The 20,454-nt window shown below is 46.3% G+C and overlaps 3 annotated features.

The window, feature by feature from the left end:
- Positions 655-1,854: an enhancer, noted in NCBI's record as "MED14-independent group 3 enhancer chr1:227719584-227720783 (GRCh37/hg19 assembly coordinates)". NCBI's record gives its function as "activates an origin of replication core promoter dependent on BRD2, BRD4, P300/CBP and CDK7 cofactors, and independent of MED14, by STARR-seq in HCT116 cells {active_cell/tissue: HCT116}" and the evidence as "EXISTENCE:reporter gene assay evidence [ECO:0000049][PMID:35650434]".
- Positions 11,033-11,632: a silencer, noted in NCBI's record as "silent region_1897". NCBI's record gives its function as "represses an Ori minimal core promoter by ATAC-STARR-seq in GM12878 lymphoblastoid cells {active_cell/tissue: GM12878}" and the evidence as "EXISTENCE:reporter gene assay evidence [ECO:0000049][PMID:35858748]".
- Positions 16,169-16,669: an enhancer, noted in NCBI's record as "H3K4me1 hESC enhancer chr1:227735098-227735598 (GRCh37/hg19 assembly coordinates)". NCBI's record gives its function as "activates a minimal SCP1, AML or CMV promoter by ChIP-STARR-seq in naive H9 embryonic stem cells {active_cell/tissue: H9 hESC(naive)}" and the evidence as "EXISTENCE:reporter gene assay evidence [ECO:0000049][PMID:30033119]".

Consider the following 20,454-nt stretch of genomic DNA (forward strand, 5'->3'; position numbering starts at 1 on the left):
TGTCTAGGTCTCTCACAAGGCCAGGAAACTTTTCCTTGATTATTTCCCAAAATATGTTTTCCAGGCTTTTAGAATTGACTTCTTCCTCAGGTACACCGATTATTCTTAGGTTTCATTGTTTAACATAATCCCAGACTTCTTGAAGGCTTTCTTCATATTTTCTTATTCTTTTTTTCTTTCTCTTTATTGGATTGGGTTAATTTGAAAACCTTGTCTTCGAGCTCTGCGTTTCTTTCTTCTACTTGTTCAATTCTATTGCTGAGATTTTCCAGAGCATTTCACGTTTCTGAAAGTGTGTCCAAACTTTCCTGAATTTTTTACTGTGTTTTCTGTAAGCTATCTATTTCCTTGAATATTTCTCCCTTCACTTCTTGCATCATTTTTTGGATTTCCTTGCACTGGGCTTTGCCTTTCTCTGGCCCCTCCCTGATTAGCTTAATAACTAACCTGAATTCTTTTTCAGATAAATCAGGGATTTCTTCTTGGTTTGATCCATTGCTGGTGAACTAGTGTGATTTTTGGGGGGTATAGAAGAGCGTTGTTCTGTCATATTACCAGGGTTGGGTTGGTTTTCTGGTTCCTTCTCATTTGGGTAGGCTCTGTCAAACAAAAGGTCTAGGGCTGGAGACTGTTGTTCGGATTCTTTTGTCCCATGGGGTGTTCCCTTGATGTAGTACTCTCCCCCTTTTCCTATGGGTGTGGCTTCCTGTGAGCCAAACTGCAGTGATTGTTGTCTCTCTTCTGGGTCTAGCCACCCAGTTGGTCTACCCGGCTTCAGGCTGGTACTGGGGGTTGTCTGCACAGAGTCCTGTGATGTGAACCATCTTTGGGTATTGCAGCCATGGATACCAGCGCCTGTTCCAGTGGAGGTGGTGGAGGGTGCAATGGACTCTGTGAGGGTCCTTAGCTTTTGAGGTTTAATACTCATATTTGTGCAGGTTGGCCTCCTGCCAGGAGGTGGCACTTTCCAGAAAGTGTCAGCTGTGTAGTGTGGAGAGGGACCAGTAGTAGGCGGGGCCCCTAGAACTCCCAAGATTATATGTTCTTTGTATTCCACTACCAGGGTGGGTAGGGAAGGACCATCAGGTGGGGGCAGGGCTAGGCATGTCTGAGCTCAGACTCTCCTTGGGCAGGTCTTGCTGCAGCTGCTGTGGAGAATGGGGGTGGTTTCCAGGTCACTGGAGTTGTTTACCAAGGAAGATTATGGCCGCCTCTGCTGAGTCATGCAGGTTGTCAGGGAAGTGGGGGAAAGCCAGCAGTCACAGGGCTCACCCAGCTCCCACACAAACTGAAGGGCTGTTCTCACTCCCCTCACTCCCACCACCCACCACCCTGCCACCAACAGCCCTGAGTCTGTTTCCAGGTGGAGGGTTAGAGGGGCTTGAAAATTTGCCCAAGGATATCTGCCTCCCAGCTGTGAAAGAAAAGGGCTTTGGTAGTTCCCCTAACTGTGGAGTCTGCACACCAGATTCGCACCCTCCCCTGAGTTCTGGCCAGGAGAGGGTACGGTTCAAATTCTTACAAAGTTCTTGCCTGGTTCAAATTGTTACAAAGTTCAGCTAGAGAATTCCTTCTCCCTGTGGAGTTTTACCCCCTGCTTCTCTGGCCACCCTCCTGATGGATCCCTGTGGTGCCAGGCAGGAATGGGCTGCCTGGGGACCCAGCAAGCTCCCAGGATCTTTCTGCTGCTTCTTCTACCCCTGTATTTTGCTCACCTCTCTAATTTGACTCAGCTCCAGGTAAACTTGGAAACTTCTCCTGCAAACAGAACTTCAGCTTCTCCAGTGGGGGTATGTGTTCAGGAGAGGAGGGTCTCCCTTTCCCACTTCCACAGTTGGGGCATTCACAGTATTTGGGGTATCTCCTGGGTCCTGCAGGGGCAGTCCACTTCCTTCAGAGGGTCTGTGGATCCTCTTGGAATTGATGGTTTGTTCTTGCAGTTGACCTGGAGCTAAAATTCACAGTGCAAGCCTCTGCATGTTGCTCTGTCCGAAGCTGCAATTTAGTCTTGCCTCCCATCCACTATGATCCCCTGAATCCCCTTATATTTTATTTTTCAATTCTAGTTTATGAAAACCACTTTTCTTTCCTCAAGACGTAGCATAAATGCCCTCAAAAACCTCATTAAAAACACGTTTGATAATTCACCAGATACGTTGTTTTGCAATATGTGGTAAACATTTAGAGACTGTGTAACATGAATTAGAGTGTATGATCTGGTTACCCCATGGGGAGAGGAAAAAAATAGAATTTTTACCTATGTTATTTTATCTAATTTCATTATTTCTTTATGGGATATGACTTATACACAGTGTGTGTGTGTGTGTATATATATATGAATCTATATGAATTCACCATATATTATTCACTTTCCTAAAATACTTTACTTACGTGAATGTATCCGTGACAATAACATGAGAGAGTAATTGCAAAATTATTCAGTGAAATTGTATGTCTATAAAGGGTTCTGATACAGAGATATCTTGCTTAAGATGTGGAGAATTATCTTTACTGTTAGAGAAATTAGTATTTTTCCCAGGCATGAGAAAGTATTCCTGTATAAAGTCTTAAGAAAAGGAATGCCATGGAATTAATTTAATGCAAATTCATTGATGTCATAAAGCAGAAAAAGGTAGTCTGTGTCCTCTAACATTGAGAGCTGGATTTTAGCAATTTCCTCCTGAGATTAAAAAAAAAATTTTTTTACATACTTCTCTGGGATAGAAACAAAACTCAAAAAGAGCCAGGATTATTTTAAGGAGATGTAGTTAATTAGCCCTGTGGAAAGTGAAATAATGCCATAAAAGATGCCTATGTCTCACCCCCAGGGCCTAGCAATATATCATGGTATGTGACAAAGCAGAATTAAGGCTGCAGGTGAAATAAAGTTTGACAATCAGCTGACTCAAAAATAAGAATATTAACTTGAATTGGAAGTTTGGCCTAATGCAATTACAAGGGTCCTTAAACCTTTGTAAAAGAGAGACTAAGAAGAGAAGCAGTCTGGGTGCTGTGATGTGAGGGAGTCTGTTTGTTTTTAAATTTTTTTTCCATTTAGTGACTCTCTTCTTTAAAATAAAATTTAGTTTAGATATACAAACACTCATGAGGTATTTTTATATGACTATCACTCTTCTAGTTGATAAATATTAGGCAAGAGATCTAGAACTACAAAAAGTGTTTTCTAAATACTGAGCCCCATACTATGGTAGTATAGATAATGGGCATTCTATATGGGTGATTATGAATGTGCTGGTGTGCTGTGTGTGTGTGTGTTTGTGTGTGTGTGTATCTATATATGTATATATAATTTGGTGTACAAAATAATGTGACTATTTTTAAAATTTCATGATAGAATTAATCAAGAAAACATTTTGAGTGTTTGACATCTTGTAAACTAAAAATTAAAAAATAGAAAAGTGTAAAAAATCAAGAAAACATTGAATGGAATAAAAAAGATATCATATGTGATAATTTTGACCATATAGTAAATAACATTTATGATGTAAAATCTATTTTTTTCAGATATATATTTCTGTAGTTTTCCCTTCCTTTTTTTTACTATGCAGTAGTAGTTTATTATTTCTGCATCAATATTTATATTTATTTATCTCTTTTTGAACACTATGCATGTCTGAATTAAAAGATTTGTATCTGGTTTTTAATTTTATCTTATAAAATTATTACTTTCTGATTGTTGTGTTTTATTCCTTTTATATATGCCAGTGAAGTAATTGTATATGTTCTACCCCTTCCTATTCTAGTCTTTATTTATCTATATTTATGTTTTATGTCAGTTTACCTTTTTCACTATAAATTTGTTCTGCTTAATCTCCCAGTGCACTATTCCTCTCAGCAGCTCCTACAAAGTTAATACAATGTATATTCATAAGATGAATATTCAAATATGATGTATATTCAAATTCTATACCTTATTTTTCAGCTATTCAATTTATCCTTGGCTCTTTTCACATATGCTCTTCAAATTTAAAGATTTTTGATTTTTCAACATTATTTTGGTTTCATATTTTCCCACTGTATTGACTTAAATATTTGTGACTATTTCAATATCAGAAATGTATGTGTAATCTATTCTGGTAGCTTAAATTCTGGTAGCTTATTTTCTTGTATGCTTCAATATTTATAATTTAGTTCTCACAACACAGAGATCTAATACTGTAAATATTTTCAATCTGTATGTTTATGTATTTATTCTAGTTGGCCTGGCACAAGACTTTCAGTGTTGCTGTGTGACCAGCCATTGGCTTTTCACATTCACAACTCCTCTGAATTTTTTCTTGCCTCATTTCTGGTCCTGGGGAACTCTGATATTTTCTCCTCATCTCCATTGTACATTTTAGGTATTCTCAAAACTTTTATTGCACAAACATCAACACTGTCCACATAAGGTAAATATTTTACTTAGATATTTTCTAGCAGACATTGAGTACTCATGAGAAATCCTCAGTTTCTTTATTTGGAACACCCCCTCCCCAGTATTCCATATGGAGTAGTTATGTGTAGAATGTGATTACTTCATTAATATGTCAAAGTAGGGATATATTTTGAACACATTTCTGAAGTTCTAATTCCTTTCTTCATGAATAGCACCTGCACATGAACATAATCGATATTTTCTCTGTAGCAGGAAGTTAGCACTGGTAGAATCTGTTCTGCAATACGAGGTCCTTGGGCTCCAGTGTCAATGCTTCCTCCTTAGATCCTCACTGACCCTGTAAATTTACCTCAGTCTCTATTTCTTAATCCAATAGTTATTTAAATTGATCTTCAATTACTTTGTATGTGGCTAGATATTATTTATGGGTTATATTCTAATTCACATTTTCTGATGTAATTTCACAGAGCCTAGAAAATGTCACCTATTGAATATCTACTTCCACAAAATCAGTGATACATTTTTAGGTCTTAAACTTCAATATTTAAAATGTTTGTCTCTGGAATTTGAAAATAATGTGTATGCCTTGTTTCCTGGCTAAAAAGGCTAATCACTTGTTCATCTGATTAGTAATCAAACTTTCTAAAGTTTATTTCATACTTGATGTTAATTTATTTGTTTTATAGAAAAGTATATTTCTATGACAGTTTTAGTGTCACCTAATATTATTTTCAATGTTGTAATTTTTATTTATATGAATCTTTGTGTTATACATTTTAAAGTCATTGGTATTAAAACTGTATGTGCAAATAGCTTGAAATAGCGCCTAACACATCATGGATTCTATGTAAATATTCACCACTCTGTTTCATCACATTTTAACCCATTCATACCATTCTTCATTTGCTAACATTTTGTTTGTCCTTATTCAAATTTATGTTGGTGTTCTGTCTACATATTAATAAAAGAGAGGAGGTAGGCTCAGACTTCCATCTTGATTAAATACTATGACAAATGGCACATTTTCCTAGTTCTATTTAGATACAGCATTACATTTGTCTCACACTATAAATGTGAGTATTAAGTACAGCAAGAAAAACAATCTTCTCCTTCCTATAACAGATGTTGGGTTATTCATGGATTGTCCACAGCTTTCTTCTCCCAACATTATTTTTATTCTTACATCTCAATTGCCATGAAAACCTAGAAGCATGAAATACTACAAATTAGAAACAAATTTGCTGCTATATACAAACTGGAAAAGTAAACTCAAGAAGAAATAGAATATATGCATACTCATACAACAGGTAAATAGATGAAGCTAATGAAAACTCTTCACACAGAGAAAAGCCCAGGCTCAGATAGCTTCACTAGTGAATTCGATTAAACACTTAATGAATAACCAATCCTTAATAAACACTTGCAAAACAGAGAAGGAAAACATCGATTCATTTTTGAGGCCAGTATTACCCAGATAACAAATCAGACAAAAGCATCACAAGATAATAAATGTGCAGACCATTATTCCTCATGAATGACGACAGAAAGCTTCAAAAACTCTAGCAAACTGGATTCAGCAACACATAAAAATGTTAGACAAGCCTGGCATGGTGGTGCACACCTGTACTCCCAGCTACTTAAGTGGCTGAGGTGGCAGGATAACTTGAGCTTAGGAGTTTGAGACTATAGTGAGCTATGACTGCCACTCCACCCCAACCTGGTGACATAGTAAGGCCTCAACTCTGATAAAAATTAAAGAAAATTAGAAAAGAATGTTAGACAATATAACCAAGTGGAATTATCTTACAAATACAAATTTAAAAATCAATCAATGTAATACACCATATTAATAGAATAAAGGAAAAAACCATGATTATTTCAATGGACATCTGACAAAGTCTGACACTCATTCCTGATAAATCTCCCAGAAATCTAGCAATAGAAATAACTTCCTCAACCTCCTACAGGATATCCATGAAAATTTAATAAATTCCACTAAGGTATATTGAAAGACATATTGATACTTCCAACTCTATGCTTTTAAAAATTAATAAAATGATAACTAATAACAGTAATATATCCATCTGGAAAACATTAAACACTTCTCTAAAAATATTTCTTTTGCATGTGATAAAGGTAAAAGTTCAAATTTAATAAGAGGAGTGCTCTTGAGAAGACTGAAACTTGGTGTTCCTAATTTTTCTGACTCATTAGCAATTACGGTCAAATTATCAATAATTCCAACAAGACAGGAGTATTCTCCTCAGCCAAAAGGCATGATCACGTAAAATCCTTATGTTAGGCATAACAGCATTTCATATTTGAATTGTTTAATAACATTATCATCATTGCTATATTCTCCTGGAAATAACACACAATACAGACTTCAAAAAATCAGAGCTTTTGCTGGGGATATATGCTCCTTCCAAAGGCGGTTGTGTGCAGTATTCTGAGAAATAATTCCTCCAAAGGTAAAGTGTGGCTATCTGGGCTTTTGGAGGAAATATTCCAAAAATCCACATATTCTAAAAATCTTTTCCACTACAAACCACCATAAATGCTGGACAACAGAATATGTGCTCAACTGGGCAAATTATTCCTAAGTGGGGAATGAAAGTGAAGAAGCAGAGGTGGCAGGAAGGAGGGAGGATGACAGCAAAGCTGGCAGGGTGGGGCTGCCCATGATGGTGCAGTCATAATAGGGGCATCCTTTGTTGGGTTTTAACAGCATTTGGGTGTGGATACAATGCTACAGCAACACCAGTGAAGGGGAGAAGAAACTGACCAGCCTAACTAAAGGAAAAGCCTCAAAGTTCCACAAGTCTAAGAAAAATGGCCTAGAATACTCAGACTGCAGTCAAAGGAAGATAAACAGTGAAGCTCCTCAGGCTATGCCTTGGCTGATTCAGGAAGGAAGGCAGCCCATTGTTACTTTGGGGCTTCTGTACACAGTTTTTGCACAGAAATATTTAAGTGACTATAAATTAATTCAAATGTTTTCCAGGTGGATATTGAGGGAGAAACAGAAAAATCCAAGACAGTCTCCTGTGGAAGAAAATTCTCCAACCCAAAACTCAACCGAACCCAAAGCTCAACCCAAAGCACTGAACGGCACATCAGTTAAGACCTGTCAAATATAATCACACAATCTAATATTTTTAAACATGCAAAATGAAGACCACCGAAGTCAATGTCATTCAGAAATAACAACAACAAAACCAGAGCACCCTATACAATTAGGCCTCAAGGAATTCCAAAGTAGTGTATTAGGTATAGAAAATATATATGTAATTAGAAACATTTACAGATTAGAGGGATACAGGCAATGTAAAAAATATGAGCTAAAATATGAGTAAAAGAATGAACTGAAATCTATACTTAGGTGTCAGGACAAGAAGAAAAATGAATAGAAAATATAAAATAGAGGTGAAAATAAATTGAAAATGGAATGAAAGGGCTATTTCTAATGAATTTTCAAAACAGACATTTAAATAAACAGAGAAAATAGTAGAAAATAAGACATGTTTAAACATTTTAAAGAATGATGAAATACAGGCTCATCAAATATCAACCAAGAAAAGCACAAAAGGTATACATATCTAAAAACATCATAAATGAAAATGTTAACACCAAAATAAAAGAAATGAATTAAACTCATTGAAATATAAAATGCAAATTATGGAACAATAGATTTTAATCTTGTCTCTCAACTTCTTCATGAAATTGATATATCAATAGATATTAAGCTTGAAGTTGTAGGTTAAATATGTGTTAATCTGGAATTGCATACCTAGCTAAAATATTTTTCAAGATTGTGGAAAAATGTAAATTAATTCATACAAGTAATATAAAGTCTTTAATGCAATTATTCACATCTTTAAAAAGTATAGGCTGGGTGCGGGGGCTCACGCCTGTAATCCCAGCACTTTGGGAGGCCGAGGTGGGCGGATCACGAGGTCAGAGTTCGAGACCAGCCTGCCCAATATGGTGAAACCCTGTCTCTACTAAAAATACAAAAATTAGCCGGGCATGGTGGTGAGCACCTGTAATCCCAGCTACTTGGGAGGCTGAGGCAGAAGAATTGCTTGAACCTGGGAGGCAGTGGTTGCAGTGAGCCAAGATTGGGCCAGTGCACTCCAGCCTGGGTGACAGAGCGAGACTGTCTCAAAAAAAAAAAAAAAAAAGAAAGAAAAAAGTATAATAACATTATAAATAAATTCCTACATTTTATTAATGTTTGTGAAGTATGATTTTTTTTTAAAAAAAATTGGCCTCTAAAACGGTTAACAATTTCAGTAAAGAAGAAAATAAAAATTCAATGTTTGATATACATATATAAAAATAAATTTCAGGAAAATGAAAGGTCCATGTGATGACAGAATCCAAATTATATAAAAGATAGAAATTTCAATATTTGTTTTTACACATTTTAAGGAAAAAACCCTGAAAGCAGGGTTTTTATTTTTATTTTTTTTATTTTTCTGCACTTTACCAGAAAATAATGTTAATAAGTCTTGAGTTTTCAAGTCCCTCTCACTGACTTGGCACTTAGAGAACAGCCAGCACAGGCTCAGGACACCCTGCTGGGCATTCTATCAAGGAGACCATCCTCATGGAAATGCAGCAGAAAGCTACATGCAGAAGATGGATGGATGCTCTCCTCCCAGAGACCAGCAGGTGCAAGTGTAGAGGGAGTGGGCCAGGGAGGAGCTGTGAACACCAAGCTGGGAGAGGTGCCTGGACCTCCATTGGACCCTCCTGCCTGCAGGGGCCTCACAGGGTTCCAGCAGAGGCGAATCCTAGGTTCCCTGTCCTATGGCTGGCCCCTGAGACTTGCTCCACCTGCCAGCTCTTTCCACAAAGACATCAGGATGGCAAACCCAATCCAGCCCCCTCACAGAGAAAGGGGATTAATGTCAGGGCCCATGCCCATCCTGGCCTGTTCAGTAACTAATTGAGTAGTGAATAGGTTAGGCCAGAACGTGCTGCTGTGGCCCCTGGGATCACATCCCTGAAGGGAACTTGCCTGGGGCTGTGACCTAAAGTGGGAGGCCCACTTGGGGTTCAGTGAGCTGGGACTTAGTTCCCAGCTCAGTTCCCTCTGCCACTCCTGGGGGACTTGGGCTTGTCTAGAGCAGGCATTGAGGATGGCATATAGCAGACATGCTGAGCTGTCAGGTGGGTGCCAAGGGGTGAGCATGAGGCATCCTGAGGGTTGCAACCATCAGAAGGCCCTGAGGTCAGCCCAGAACCAGCCCAGCCTCTGTACCTGGAGCTGCAGGTGCACAGGCTGTACCTGGAGCTGCAGGGTGGGCGCTGTGCAATGGGCTGGTCAGAGTGGAGTGAGAAGCCAGTCAGGGAGGGGCTTTCATTGCCCTTTATCCTGTGGTGCAAATCAAGTCCCCAAGGCCACAAACCAGGCGGGGCAGAAACAATGGGCTAAAGCATCGCCTTCTCTCCTCTTTGGCTCACATAGGCCCCTGACTTTCCTGGGCTTGCCTGAAAGTGAGAGAAAATCCCTCTTCTTGTGAGGATGAACACAGAAGTCACCAGTCAAGTTTGGTGAGGGGGGGCCCAGGCACCCCCAGAGTCTTTGCAGGGCAGCACCCACTACTTGCTAGCTGGACCAGGAGGCCAGGCTGGGACATTCTGGGAACTGAGGTCACCAGTCCCTACTATGCCTCGAATCTGTCCCCACCATGCAACCTCGGGCCAGCTCAGGCTCTGCCACCAGCTCCCCACATCGTCGTCCCTCAAGAGGCCTAGGGTGGGTTCCCCCTGCTTGGTGTCTCTGGCCCCTGCTCTCCATTCTGAGGCCTGACAAGCACCCAACCTCCAAAGCTGTGTTTTCCTGGGGGAGTGGGTGTTGGGACCACTGGCACAGAACTCGCAGCTTAGCTACATGTTTGTTCCAGACTTGGTTAATCAATGCAGCAGTAAACCCGCTGCTTCTGGGGTACAGTCTCCTACATTTCACGGGTCAGGTAGACAGACTGCGTCCCCTTCACCCCCCAGGTGTGCGAAAACACAGTTGACTCCACCTGCAATTCGGTCCTGCCCTCTTCCACCTGAAGAAGACCTGCTCACACCCCAGGGGTCAGCTCCGCGGCTTCTTCTTGGTGAAGCCTCCCTGACATCGCCTCTGGCACTGATACCACCCTCTGAGCCCCAGCACAGTCCCAGCAAAAGCCGCGCACTGTGCAACAGAGGCCTGCGCTCGACCTCGCGGTGCACTCAGCAGGGGCTGCCCTCGGTCCCACCGTCTCCCTTAACGCCCCTGCCTCCCAGTCCCACGGCCCCCAGGAGGAGCCAGTACCCTAGCCCAGGGAGCCGGGTTGGGCGCGGCCTGGGGACCGGGCGTGGGAAGCTGGCCCACAGGGTCGCCCCTAGCAAGGAACCACCAGAGCGCGCATGCGGGAGCCGAGGCCGCAGCACTGGGTGGGCAGCTAGCTCACCGAAGACCCACGCAGCGGGCCAGGCGCCAGCGGCCGCTAGGTCTGGGCGCGGGGCCGGGCCGGCGAGAGAAGGGTCCGGGGCACCCAGTGGGCTCGGATCTCGAGCGGTCCCCGTGACGGCCCCGCGACTGCGCGACTTCCCGCTCTAGAGAGTTTATGGACCCTGTCCCAGGAGGGCTCCGCAGCCGCCAGGGAGGTACCGGAGGGACCGCGGCGCTGGGAGAGGGTGGCGCCAGGCGGCCCTGGAGCCCTGGGCGACGCGGCCGGGCCGGCCAGAGGGCGGAGAAGTCCAAAGCAGCAGCCCGGACAGCCGCTTCCGCCCCTGCGCCGCCCTCCCGGCCCAGGTGACCGGTCGCCCTACCCGGGGAGCAGCGCCCTCCTCCTCCTGGGCCGGAGCCGGGCGTGGGGGTCGCAGGCTGGTGCCACAGCCTGAGGACACCGCGGCCTCTGCCCCGGGGAGCACGCCAAATGCCGGACGGAGCGGCTGTTGCAGACGGTGAGGCCGCAGCCCCGCTTGAGGGTAGGGTCGGGCGGGGTGTCGGGGTCCTGGCAGAGGCCGCGGCGAGGGCAGGAGCCGGTGCGCTGGCCGCTGCACATGCGCCGCCCGGCACCGGGACCCTGCGGGCGCGCCCCCTGGTGGCAGCCAGCGGGAGGTGGCGTCCCTGTCCCCAGCCAGGCGGCAGCGCGAAGCTGCCTCCCCGCGGGGGGAGCGGAAGTGGCCCAGCTGCTCGAGTGACTTACTAGTTAAAAAGCTGGGGTTGGAGCTGCCACGCGGGGAAGTGTGGAGGCCTGCGGGGCTCCGCCTAGACTTTCTGGGTGTCCTCCTGGGACCTCAGGTTCCTCACCTGTCGCAGAGGACTGATGGGCTGCTATGGCAGGGTTGTTTGGAGGATTAGGCCAAATAGTCCCAGTAAAGCCCCATTAGCCTCCCTGGCCTCTGGATTTTTTTTTTTTTTTCTGGCTTGGGTAACTGCGGAATGTGGCCAGGTGCTGAAGCGGGAAGGCTGGACTCTCCCTAGGCGTCGGGGTTCCTTCCTGGCGCCCCCTCTTCTTAGGCTCTTTTCAAGCACATACCCGGCAACGTGTGCTCTACCCAAGAGCGCTTCACAGATCTTCCTGTGGGCCTAAAACCAGAACGCTTTGTTCCCTGACCCCGGCTCTCATATCACCCCAAAGCCAAGTCTTTTGGCGGAGCTGGCTTCAGATTCGAGTCTCAGTTTAATGCTTGTTCTCTAAGGTCTGCCCAGGGCTCTTATGATGGGGCGTTGTTCCACTCCACCCGACCCTGTGCCTCCCAATGCGCTGGGGGCCTCAACTGCAGGGACTTGGAACTGGGAGCCCTCCCTGACAGGCTGGCCTGGCCATGGACTGGTGGATCTCAGTCCCAGGGCGAGATACCCCGGGCAGGGACTCTCATCCCGGCTTTTGTACACTCCAGCCATTTAACCTGGTGTGGTGGCCTCGCTGAGACCCCAGGTCTGTGGGGCAGGATTTCTTCCTTGTGTCATAGTGGAGGAAACTGAGGCAGAGGGCCGGTGAATGACAAAGTCAGGGAAATGCTCTGATTGTGAAATGCCCCCTAGGCCTCACAGGTCCCTTCAAGACACAGCATCCCTCGGGTTGCTGCATCAATGGGCTGTTGGCTTGGGCACCCCAAGCTCAGCGCCATGTGGGGATGAAGCTGGGGAATGTGGGGGCAGGGAAATTCGTCCCCCATATCGGCACAGCAGGAATTTCATTCTCTGATATGTGTGGACACCACTGCATGTGTGGGTGTGGGTGGGGCCCCCATTGTGTTGATTAAGAAAGAGCCCTTCCTGGGGCCTCTGGGGAAGTGAGGGGCACCATGTGTGCCTGGCAGCTGGTTGGGGTGTGGAGGGGCTCGTCTGGACTCTGTCCTGTTGTCACCTTTTCAGGGCCAGCTAGACCCTGAAGTCTTAGTGCCAGTCATGCCCAGTTGCATGCTGCCCTTTACTTGCCTTCCCCCCCCCCGCCCCTGCCTGACTCCCCCAGCTCAGCCCCTGCCAGGATTTCTCAGGCCTCTGTGGACCCTGGATGGGATCCCAGGAGATGGCAACTCCACTGCCTGCCTCTGCCTGAAGTCTGGGGTCCCTGTGCAGGGTGGGTGAACAGGTCAGGGGTCAACTTTTGGCTGAGTGCGGGGCCTTTCCCTGATCCCCACCCCACACTGCTGGAACCACTGTGCACGGCTGGTCCCGGGGCTGCACTGGGTCCCCCAGCCTACTGCTGGACCGGATAGAGGAGAATACTTGTGCACATGGCTTGACCTGTTGTTAATGCTCAGTCCAAATCAGAACTAACCAGCTGTTTCCCTGGGGTCAGGGCCCAGGCCTGAGGCTGCCATGACCAGCCCATTCTCTGCCTTCTTGGGGGCCATCGGCGGCCAGTGTTTGGTGGTCCCCAAAAGACATGATGGCTAGGACTGGAGAGCTGGGGGTTAGGTCAGGAGACCCCCTGACCATGGGGGTCCACAGGGGCTGTCCCTGAGCTGTGGGTCCCTATGGGATGCAGGTACATGTGGATGCTTTAGGAGGTGAGCATGGGTCCTTCTGGCTGGCAGGATCTTGGTGGGCACTGGACATGTGGGGCCAGGTTAGGTGGGATGGGCAGAATTGGGCCTGGCTGGGGAGTGTGACTGGTGTGGCCAGAGTCTGCAGTGAGCCCCTCACATCTAGGTTGCACATTGACAGAATGACAAGTGGCGGGTCAACCATCCCAGCTGGGTCTGGGGAAGCAGGCCTACCCAGTGGGACCCCCACCCTTGTCCTGGCCCCAAGCCCAGACTGCCTGCCTCCACTGAGCATTGTCTAGCCTTGGCAGGGAAGCCCGGGTGTGATGATCAGGTGTTATGTCTCTGGGTCTCAGGCCTTGGTGGGCCCTAGGGAGATGGGCAGGCACTGGGCAGGGGGAGGGTCTGGGAGCCACCTGAGTGCATCTGCCCCTGGGTGTGTGCCCCCACCCCAGCTCCTCAGCCCTCAGGGCAAAATGACCAGGGCTCCTCACCTGCTGTGTGGCTCCAGCTCTGACCCCCTTGCCTAATGACTGACAGACTCTCCCCTGAGCCTGTGGGAACTTTATGTGGGTCATTTGTGAGTTGGGGGTCCCAACCTCCCTATAGGAAGGAGCCCACCACCAACCACCCTAGTAGGCCCACCTGGGCCTCCTCACTCCACTGGCCTGTGAGACCCAACTGGCCAGACCTGCTGTCCTATTTATATTTTGCTCTTTTTCTCAGTGTGTGTTTTCTGTAATGGTTGTTGCATGGCATTTCCAGATAAGCTGCAGGGTAGAGACTGCTCCCTGCCCCAGAGAACCCCCATACCAAATAGCCCTCACCACGATCTCCTGGGCTGGTTGTGTCTGTGCTCAGCTTGGTGTAAATGGCGCCTGCAGTGTGCACCATTGAGTGGATCTGTCCACACGGCTGCCTGAGCTGGCATCTCTGTCCTTGTTGCTGAGGCCCATTCTCTTCCCCCACTCTCCACCTGAGCTGCTCTTGAAGCCAAGAGGAGGGATGGAGAGGGACCCCACCCCTCCTGGGGTAAATCTCCACCATGAGGGGGCTGAGCTTGCCCACCCTGTCATCCACTCCTCTGAGCTCCATCTCAGCCAGAGGTCAGCCAACTGTAGCCTGTCCCCACCTGCTTTTGTGCCGCCCGTGAGTTAAGAGTGGATTTTACATTTCCAAATGTTCAAACAAATCAAAACAATTATACTTCACGATGCTGTGAAATTTGAATGTTGCTGGTTCATGAATAAAACTGTACAGGAATCCAGCCATGCCTGTTTATTTACAGGTGGCCTGGGGAAGGCTGCTGTCTGGCTACAATGGCACAGTTAAGTCCTTGGCACAGAAAATGGTTGCCAAAGCTGATAATACTGACCCCTTTAGAGAAACAGTTTCCAGCCCAGGGTTTGAGGTTGTCTGGCAGGACCCCAGACTCTGGGTCAGATCCTTCCCCACTCACAGCTGTGATGGCCTCCACTGGTATGCCTGTAAAGAAGGGGTGCCAGGGGCCTCCCAAGGGGATGTTGAGGCCTTGTGTGCCAGGTTTCAGTGTGTGTGCTTCACAGTCACTCATCTCACCCGCTGAGGTCCCGGGCCTGAGGTGGGCCTGCCTGCAGGAACAACTGGTCCTTGGCAGTGGGAACTCTGTGGAGCTGAGCTGCCACCCACCTGGCAGAGGTCCCATGGAGCTCACTGTTGGGGTCAAGGGTAGTGCAGGGCTGGTGTCCTGGACTGCATGGGCCCCAACTACTGCAGGCGCTGACTTCCTCCCATGAAGAAATCAGAGCCAACAGCTGCAGCAGCTCACCCAGTGCGTGCTGTGCCCCTTCCGTGTGCATGTGACAGAGGGTGCCTGCTGGATCTGCACCAGTCTGTGGGTAGGAGGCCTTGGTGGCTATGTTCACTGAGTGGCTACCTGGCCCAGGAGTGGCCAAAGGGTCTCAGGAGGTATGGCCACAGCATCCTCTCCGTGAGGGTCTGTCTGATGATTGGTAGAGAGGAGGGCACCCCCAGGGGGTGAGGGGCTCCAACCCCATCAGTGAGGGACAGCTGGGGTCCTCCTGGGGAAAGTCAAAGGCTGAGCCCCAGGACAGAAGGACGCTGCCCTCAGCTGAGTAGCAGCAGGCACTTGGACGTGGGCCATCACGGGGCCGCAGCGCACACACCCTGTCTCCTGCATTGCACCTCGAGAGGTGAGGAAGTTGGGATGCCAAGGCTGAAGACACAGATGAGACCAGACTCCAGGCACTTGGGGCTGGTCTGGGGTAACGCCTGCTTCCCACTCACCAAGTCTTGCCCTCCACAGGCAGATGAGGGACCAAGGACTTGGGGACAACCTCCCTAGGGTCACACTGACAGTCAGGGTTCCCTTAGGGTGCAGGAGGGGCTGGGCCACTGACATGGCTCTGGATGCCTGGCCCATGGAGCTCACTGTCTGGGTGAGCTGGCTCTGGGGTTCAGGCTGGGGGTGGGAAGGGAGCACCCACGCTGCAGATGGGGAGACTGAGACACAGGGCTCTAGGGGTTCCAGGGTTGGAAGGAGGCCAGGGCTGGCCTGTGAGGACTTTGGTGTTGGCTCTTGGTGAGGTAGGCCATCACAGATGTGAGTGCAACAGGTCACAGGGGCTCAGGAGGCTGCCTGCTGGACCAAGGCCTTGTGGGCAGCAGAAGGCAACTGTCACATCCCAGTGGAAGGGGAGGTTGGTGATGGGGGTGGCAAAGGGAGAGCCCACAGTGTTTTTCTGACAGATGGGCTGTGGGTGTGAGAGAGCAGTCAGGGAGACAATGCCTGGGTGATTTGGCCCGGAACAGTGGCAGGGGGACTTTGCCCAGCTGTGGAGGGGTTTTGCTGGGAGGTGTGGCTTCTGGTTCTGGAAATGCTGAGAGACGTGCAAATGTTGTTGAGGGTCATCAAGGGACAGATGTGTGGAGACAGTTACAATTTGGCGACAGATGGTGTGTTGGCTGAGCCCCTGGGCCCTCTGGCATGGAGGAGACAAGGAGGTGAGGAGAAACCAGCCAGGGGGACAGGGCTCAGGGAAAACCAAGCAAGCTGATCCCAAGAGTTGATCGAATCTGGGATGGGATGAACATTTTCCAGCTTCCTGTTCAGCCCCTGCCCCTCGTCTCCCCTGCACCCACCTGGTTCCCTTGCCCTGAGTCCCTGCTTGTCCTGAGTCACTTCATGTCCCTGCTTACCTGGCTGTCCTAGGCAGGCGTTTGATGTTTCCACCCCACGTGGGCTGGGGCTGTGAGGGTCACTGGAGGCCACCTTTCAGAAGGCACCATCTGGCAGTGGGCAGATGTGGCCTCCCAGTCCTGTGAAACAGCCCCCACCACAGCCTGCTGGGCTCTCTCCACCACCCACCCCAAGAGGCCTAGGAGGGCCACTCACAGCTCTGGGAGGTGCCTCTTTTCAGCTTCTGTTCACAGTTTCCACCTGGACCTAAGCTTCCTCCTCCAAGAGACGGGTGTGTCTCTGTGGATGGATGGCCAGGAGGTCACTTTGAGAGGGCACTGCCTCCCTCCTGGGAGCCCTGCCTCAGAAAGGCAGGCCAAATCTCAGGTCCTGGGAAAGAAAACAGTTGGGCTGTGAGGAAGTGGGTGATAACAGCTCTGGACATCAGAAGGAGGAGGTGGCAGGGCCTCAGGCACCTGTCAGGCCACAGAGCTCTGCAGAGGGTGGTGTAGGGTCTCAGATTCTAGTGAACTACAGCCACCTGGCTGCACATCATCTTGCCTGGCTCATCATTTTTTATTGTTGAAAAGTGGACATGTTGAATACTATACTGTAGTCAATCTGGATAGCAAATTCTCCTCCCTCCCTAGGCTTTGTGGCTGTTTCTTGTGAGTTGCAGTTGCTTATTTAGTGACCATTTCAGTTTATTTTTAAAGCTGTATTATTTGTCATAAGTGCTCACTGATACCTATGTTTCATTAGTTGTTGGCTCTTGATTTGAGAGAGGATTTTTTACATGTCTAGAGAATACACATTTTCTATCTTTGCAATTGTACTCTGCCTCTGTAATAAACCATGCCTTTAACACAGCCACGCAGTTTACAACTCGACTTTTGTCTTCACTTCCTGTTACTCAGAGAATAAATTTCAAGAATACATGAGATCTTAACCTTTCCCAAAACTTTTGTTGGGGCATGAGCGTAGCATTCTAGATTTTTAGAAATATATGGAAGCTTTTCAAAATGCTTCCTTATTTTCCAAATTATCACATCATACTGACTTTCTTTTCAGGCTTTTTAGTGTGTCTATTGTTTTGACATGTTTTGCTTCATAAGGCAGCAAGATTACTCTTTTTCCCTAGGCATGGATAATTATTCAAGCCAGAGTGGCCCAGCCCTTTGATTCCAGTTGATGGTCCCTAGGACAGCCTTAATCTTATACAGTAAAGAAAGGAAAATGAAGGTCACCTCTCAAAAGTAGCTGAAGCTGAATTTTGTAAAATTCAGACTCTATACATGGAATCTTTTCCCTATACATGGAATCTTTTCCATATGTTCTTTTTAATGTTCACACTCAGCTACATTGTTCTTTGATATCTTTCTTCCTCTTCATTGTGTTGATTTCCAGCAGTAAAATTATCAAATCAGAGTTGTCCTGTCATGTCACATGCATTTCTACGTCGATTTTAACATAATCACGTGTTCAGCTTATCTGGGACTGCATATATGAGACACTATACATACGCCCCATGGCAGTGACAGATTCCATTATTTCACTTTTCATAAAGTGTCAAGTTGGGTCTTCTATCCTGTAATTTTCCTCTAACTATTTAACCATGCCTAAGAAAATGTCTATGTGACCTGTAATGAAAACATAAATAGCCACCAGCATAAACAGTCACCAATAGAATAAGTAAGTCTGGGGCAAAAAAGTGCTTCTAACAAAGCAACTCCAACTACGTCTACAGGATCTTTGAGAATTTTTTTTCTATTTCTAACATTTTTGTTTAATGTATACTTTCTCAGTTTGCCTGATTTCTCCAAAAAATTAATTTATATATTCACTTATTAGCCATTTAAGGTTCATAAATATGTATTACTTAAATTCATTTTTTTCTACTTAATTGGCACTAAATTTACCCAATGATACTAATGTTTCTAGCTGTGCTAGCTTTGGCACTTGCAATAGTTTTGCTGCAGTGACCATGCATATTCAACTGGGATGTCCACGAGCCTATGTTTATATAACAGATCTAGACAAAAAATGATTAACTGGCCATCTCCTTGTCATGGATGCAGGCTCTGTCTCCTTTCTCATCTTCTACTACTCTACAGTCTTAAATCACATTTTCAAGTAAAACATAATAGAAAAAATTTGTGTCTTTTTTATCAAGCAAGTAATTCAAATTCTAGGTCCTAGTCTCAAGTCTCTCTCAGAGTGACTCCTGTTCTGTTATTGCTTTTGTCAGACTTCTGTACCTTCCTCTAGGCCCATCTATAAACTTTCTTGTAAAATTCAGTTGTAGCAACAGTGTAAACAAAGTCACCAGGAAGTTTGAACTGGGAAGAGCTCACTGCAGCTTAGCAAGGCCTCTGTGGCCAGACTATCTCTCTAGATTCCTCCTCTCTGGGCAGGGCATCTCTGCGAAAAAGGCAGCAGCCCATCAGGGACTTATAGATAAAACCCCCATCTCCCTGGGACAGAGCACCTGGGGGAAGGGGCGGCTATGGGCACAGCTTCAGCAGACTTAAACGTCCCTGCCTGATGGCTCCGAAGAGAGCAGCGTACCTCCCAGCACAGCGTTCAAGCTCTGCTAAGGATCAAACTGCCTCCTTAAGTGGGTCCCTGATCCCAGTGTATCCTGATTGGGAGACACCTCCCAGTAGGGGCCGACAGACACCTCATATGGCAGAGATCTAGCTAGTATCTGGCAGGTGCTCCTCTGGGACGAAGCTTCCAGAGGAAAGAACAGTCAGCAATCTTTGCTGTTCTGCAGCCTCCTTTACCCAGGCAAACAGGGCCTGGAGTGGACCTCCAGCAAATTCCAGCATACCAGCAACAGAGGGCACTGACTATTAGAAGGAAAACTAACAAACAGAAAGGAGAGCATGTCCACTCAGAGACCACATTCGAAGGTCACCAACATCAAAGACCAAAGGTAGATAAATCCATGAAGATGGGGAGAAACCAGGGCAAAAAGGCTGAAAATTCCAAAAACCAGAACACCCCTTCTCATCCGAAGGATCAAAACTCCTCACCAGCAAGGGAACAAAACTGGACTGAGAATGAGTTTGACAAATTGACAGAAGTAGGCTTCAGAAGTTGGGTAATCACAAACTCCTTCGAGCTAAAGGAGCATGTTCTAACCCAATGCAAGGAAGCTAAGAACCTTGAAAAAAGATTAGACAAATTGCTAACTAGAATAAACAGTTTGGAGAAGAATATAAATGACCTGATGGAGCTGAAAAACACAGCAAGAGAACTTTGTGAAGCATACACAAGTTATCAATAGCCAAATCGATTAAGCAGAAGAAAGGATATCAGAGATTGAAGATCAACTTAATGAAATAAAGCAAGAAGACAAGATTAGAGAAAAAAGAATGAAAAGGAATGAGCAGAGCCTCCAAGAAATATGGGACAATGTGAAAAGACCAAATTTACATTTGATTGGTGTACCTGAAAGTGACAGGGAGAATGGAACCAAGTTGGAAAACACTCTTCAGGATATTATCTAGGAAAACTTCCCCAACCTAGCAAGACAGGGTGACATTCAAATTCAGGAAATACAGAGAACACCACAAAGATACCCCTCAAGAAGAACAACCCCAAGACACATAATTATCAGATTCAGCAAGGTTGAAATGAAGGGGAAAATGTTAAGGGCAGCCAGAGAGAAAGGTTGGGTTAACTCACAAAGGGAAGCCCATCAGAATAACAGCAGATCTCTCGGCAGAAACCCTACAAACCAGAAGAGAGTGGGGGCCAATATTCAGCATTCTTAAGGAAAAGAATTTTCAACCCAGAATTTTTCTTTCTTTTTTTTTTTTTATTATTATACTTTAAGTTGTAGGGTACATGTGCACAACATGCAGGTTTGTGACATATGTATACATGT

Source organism: Homo sapiens, chromosome 1 (assembly GCF_000001405.40).
Source record: "Homo sapiens chromosome 1, GRCh38.p14 Primary Assembly".
NCBI lineage: Eukaryota > Metazoa > Chordata > Mammalia > Primates > Hominidae > Homo > Homo sapiens.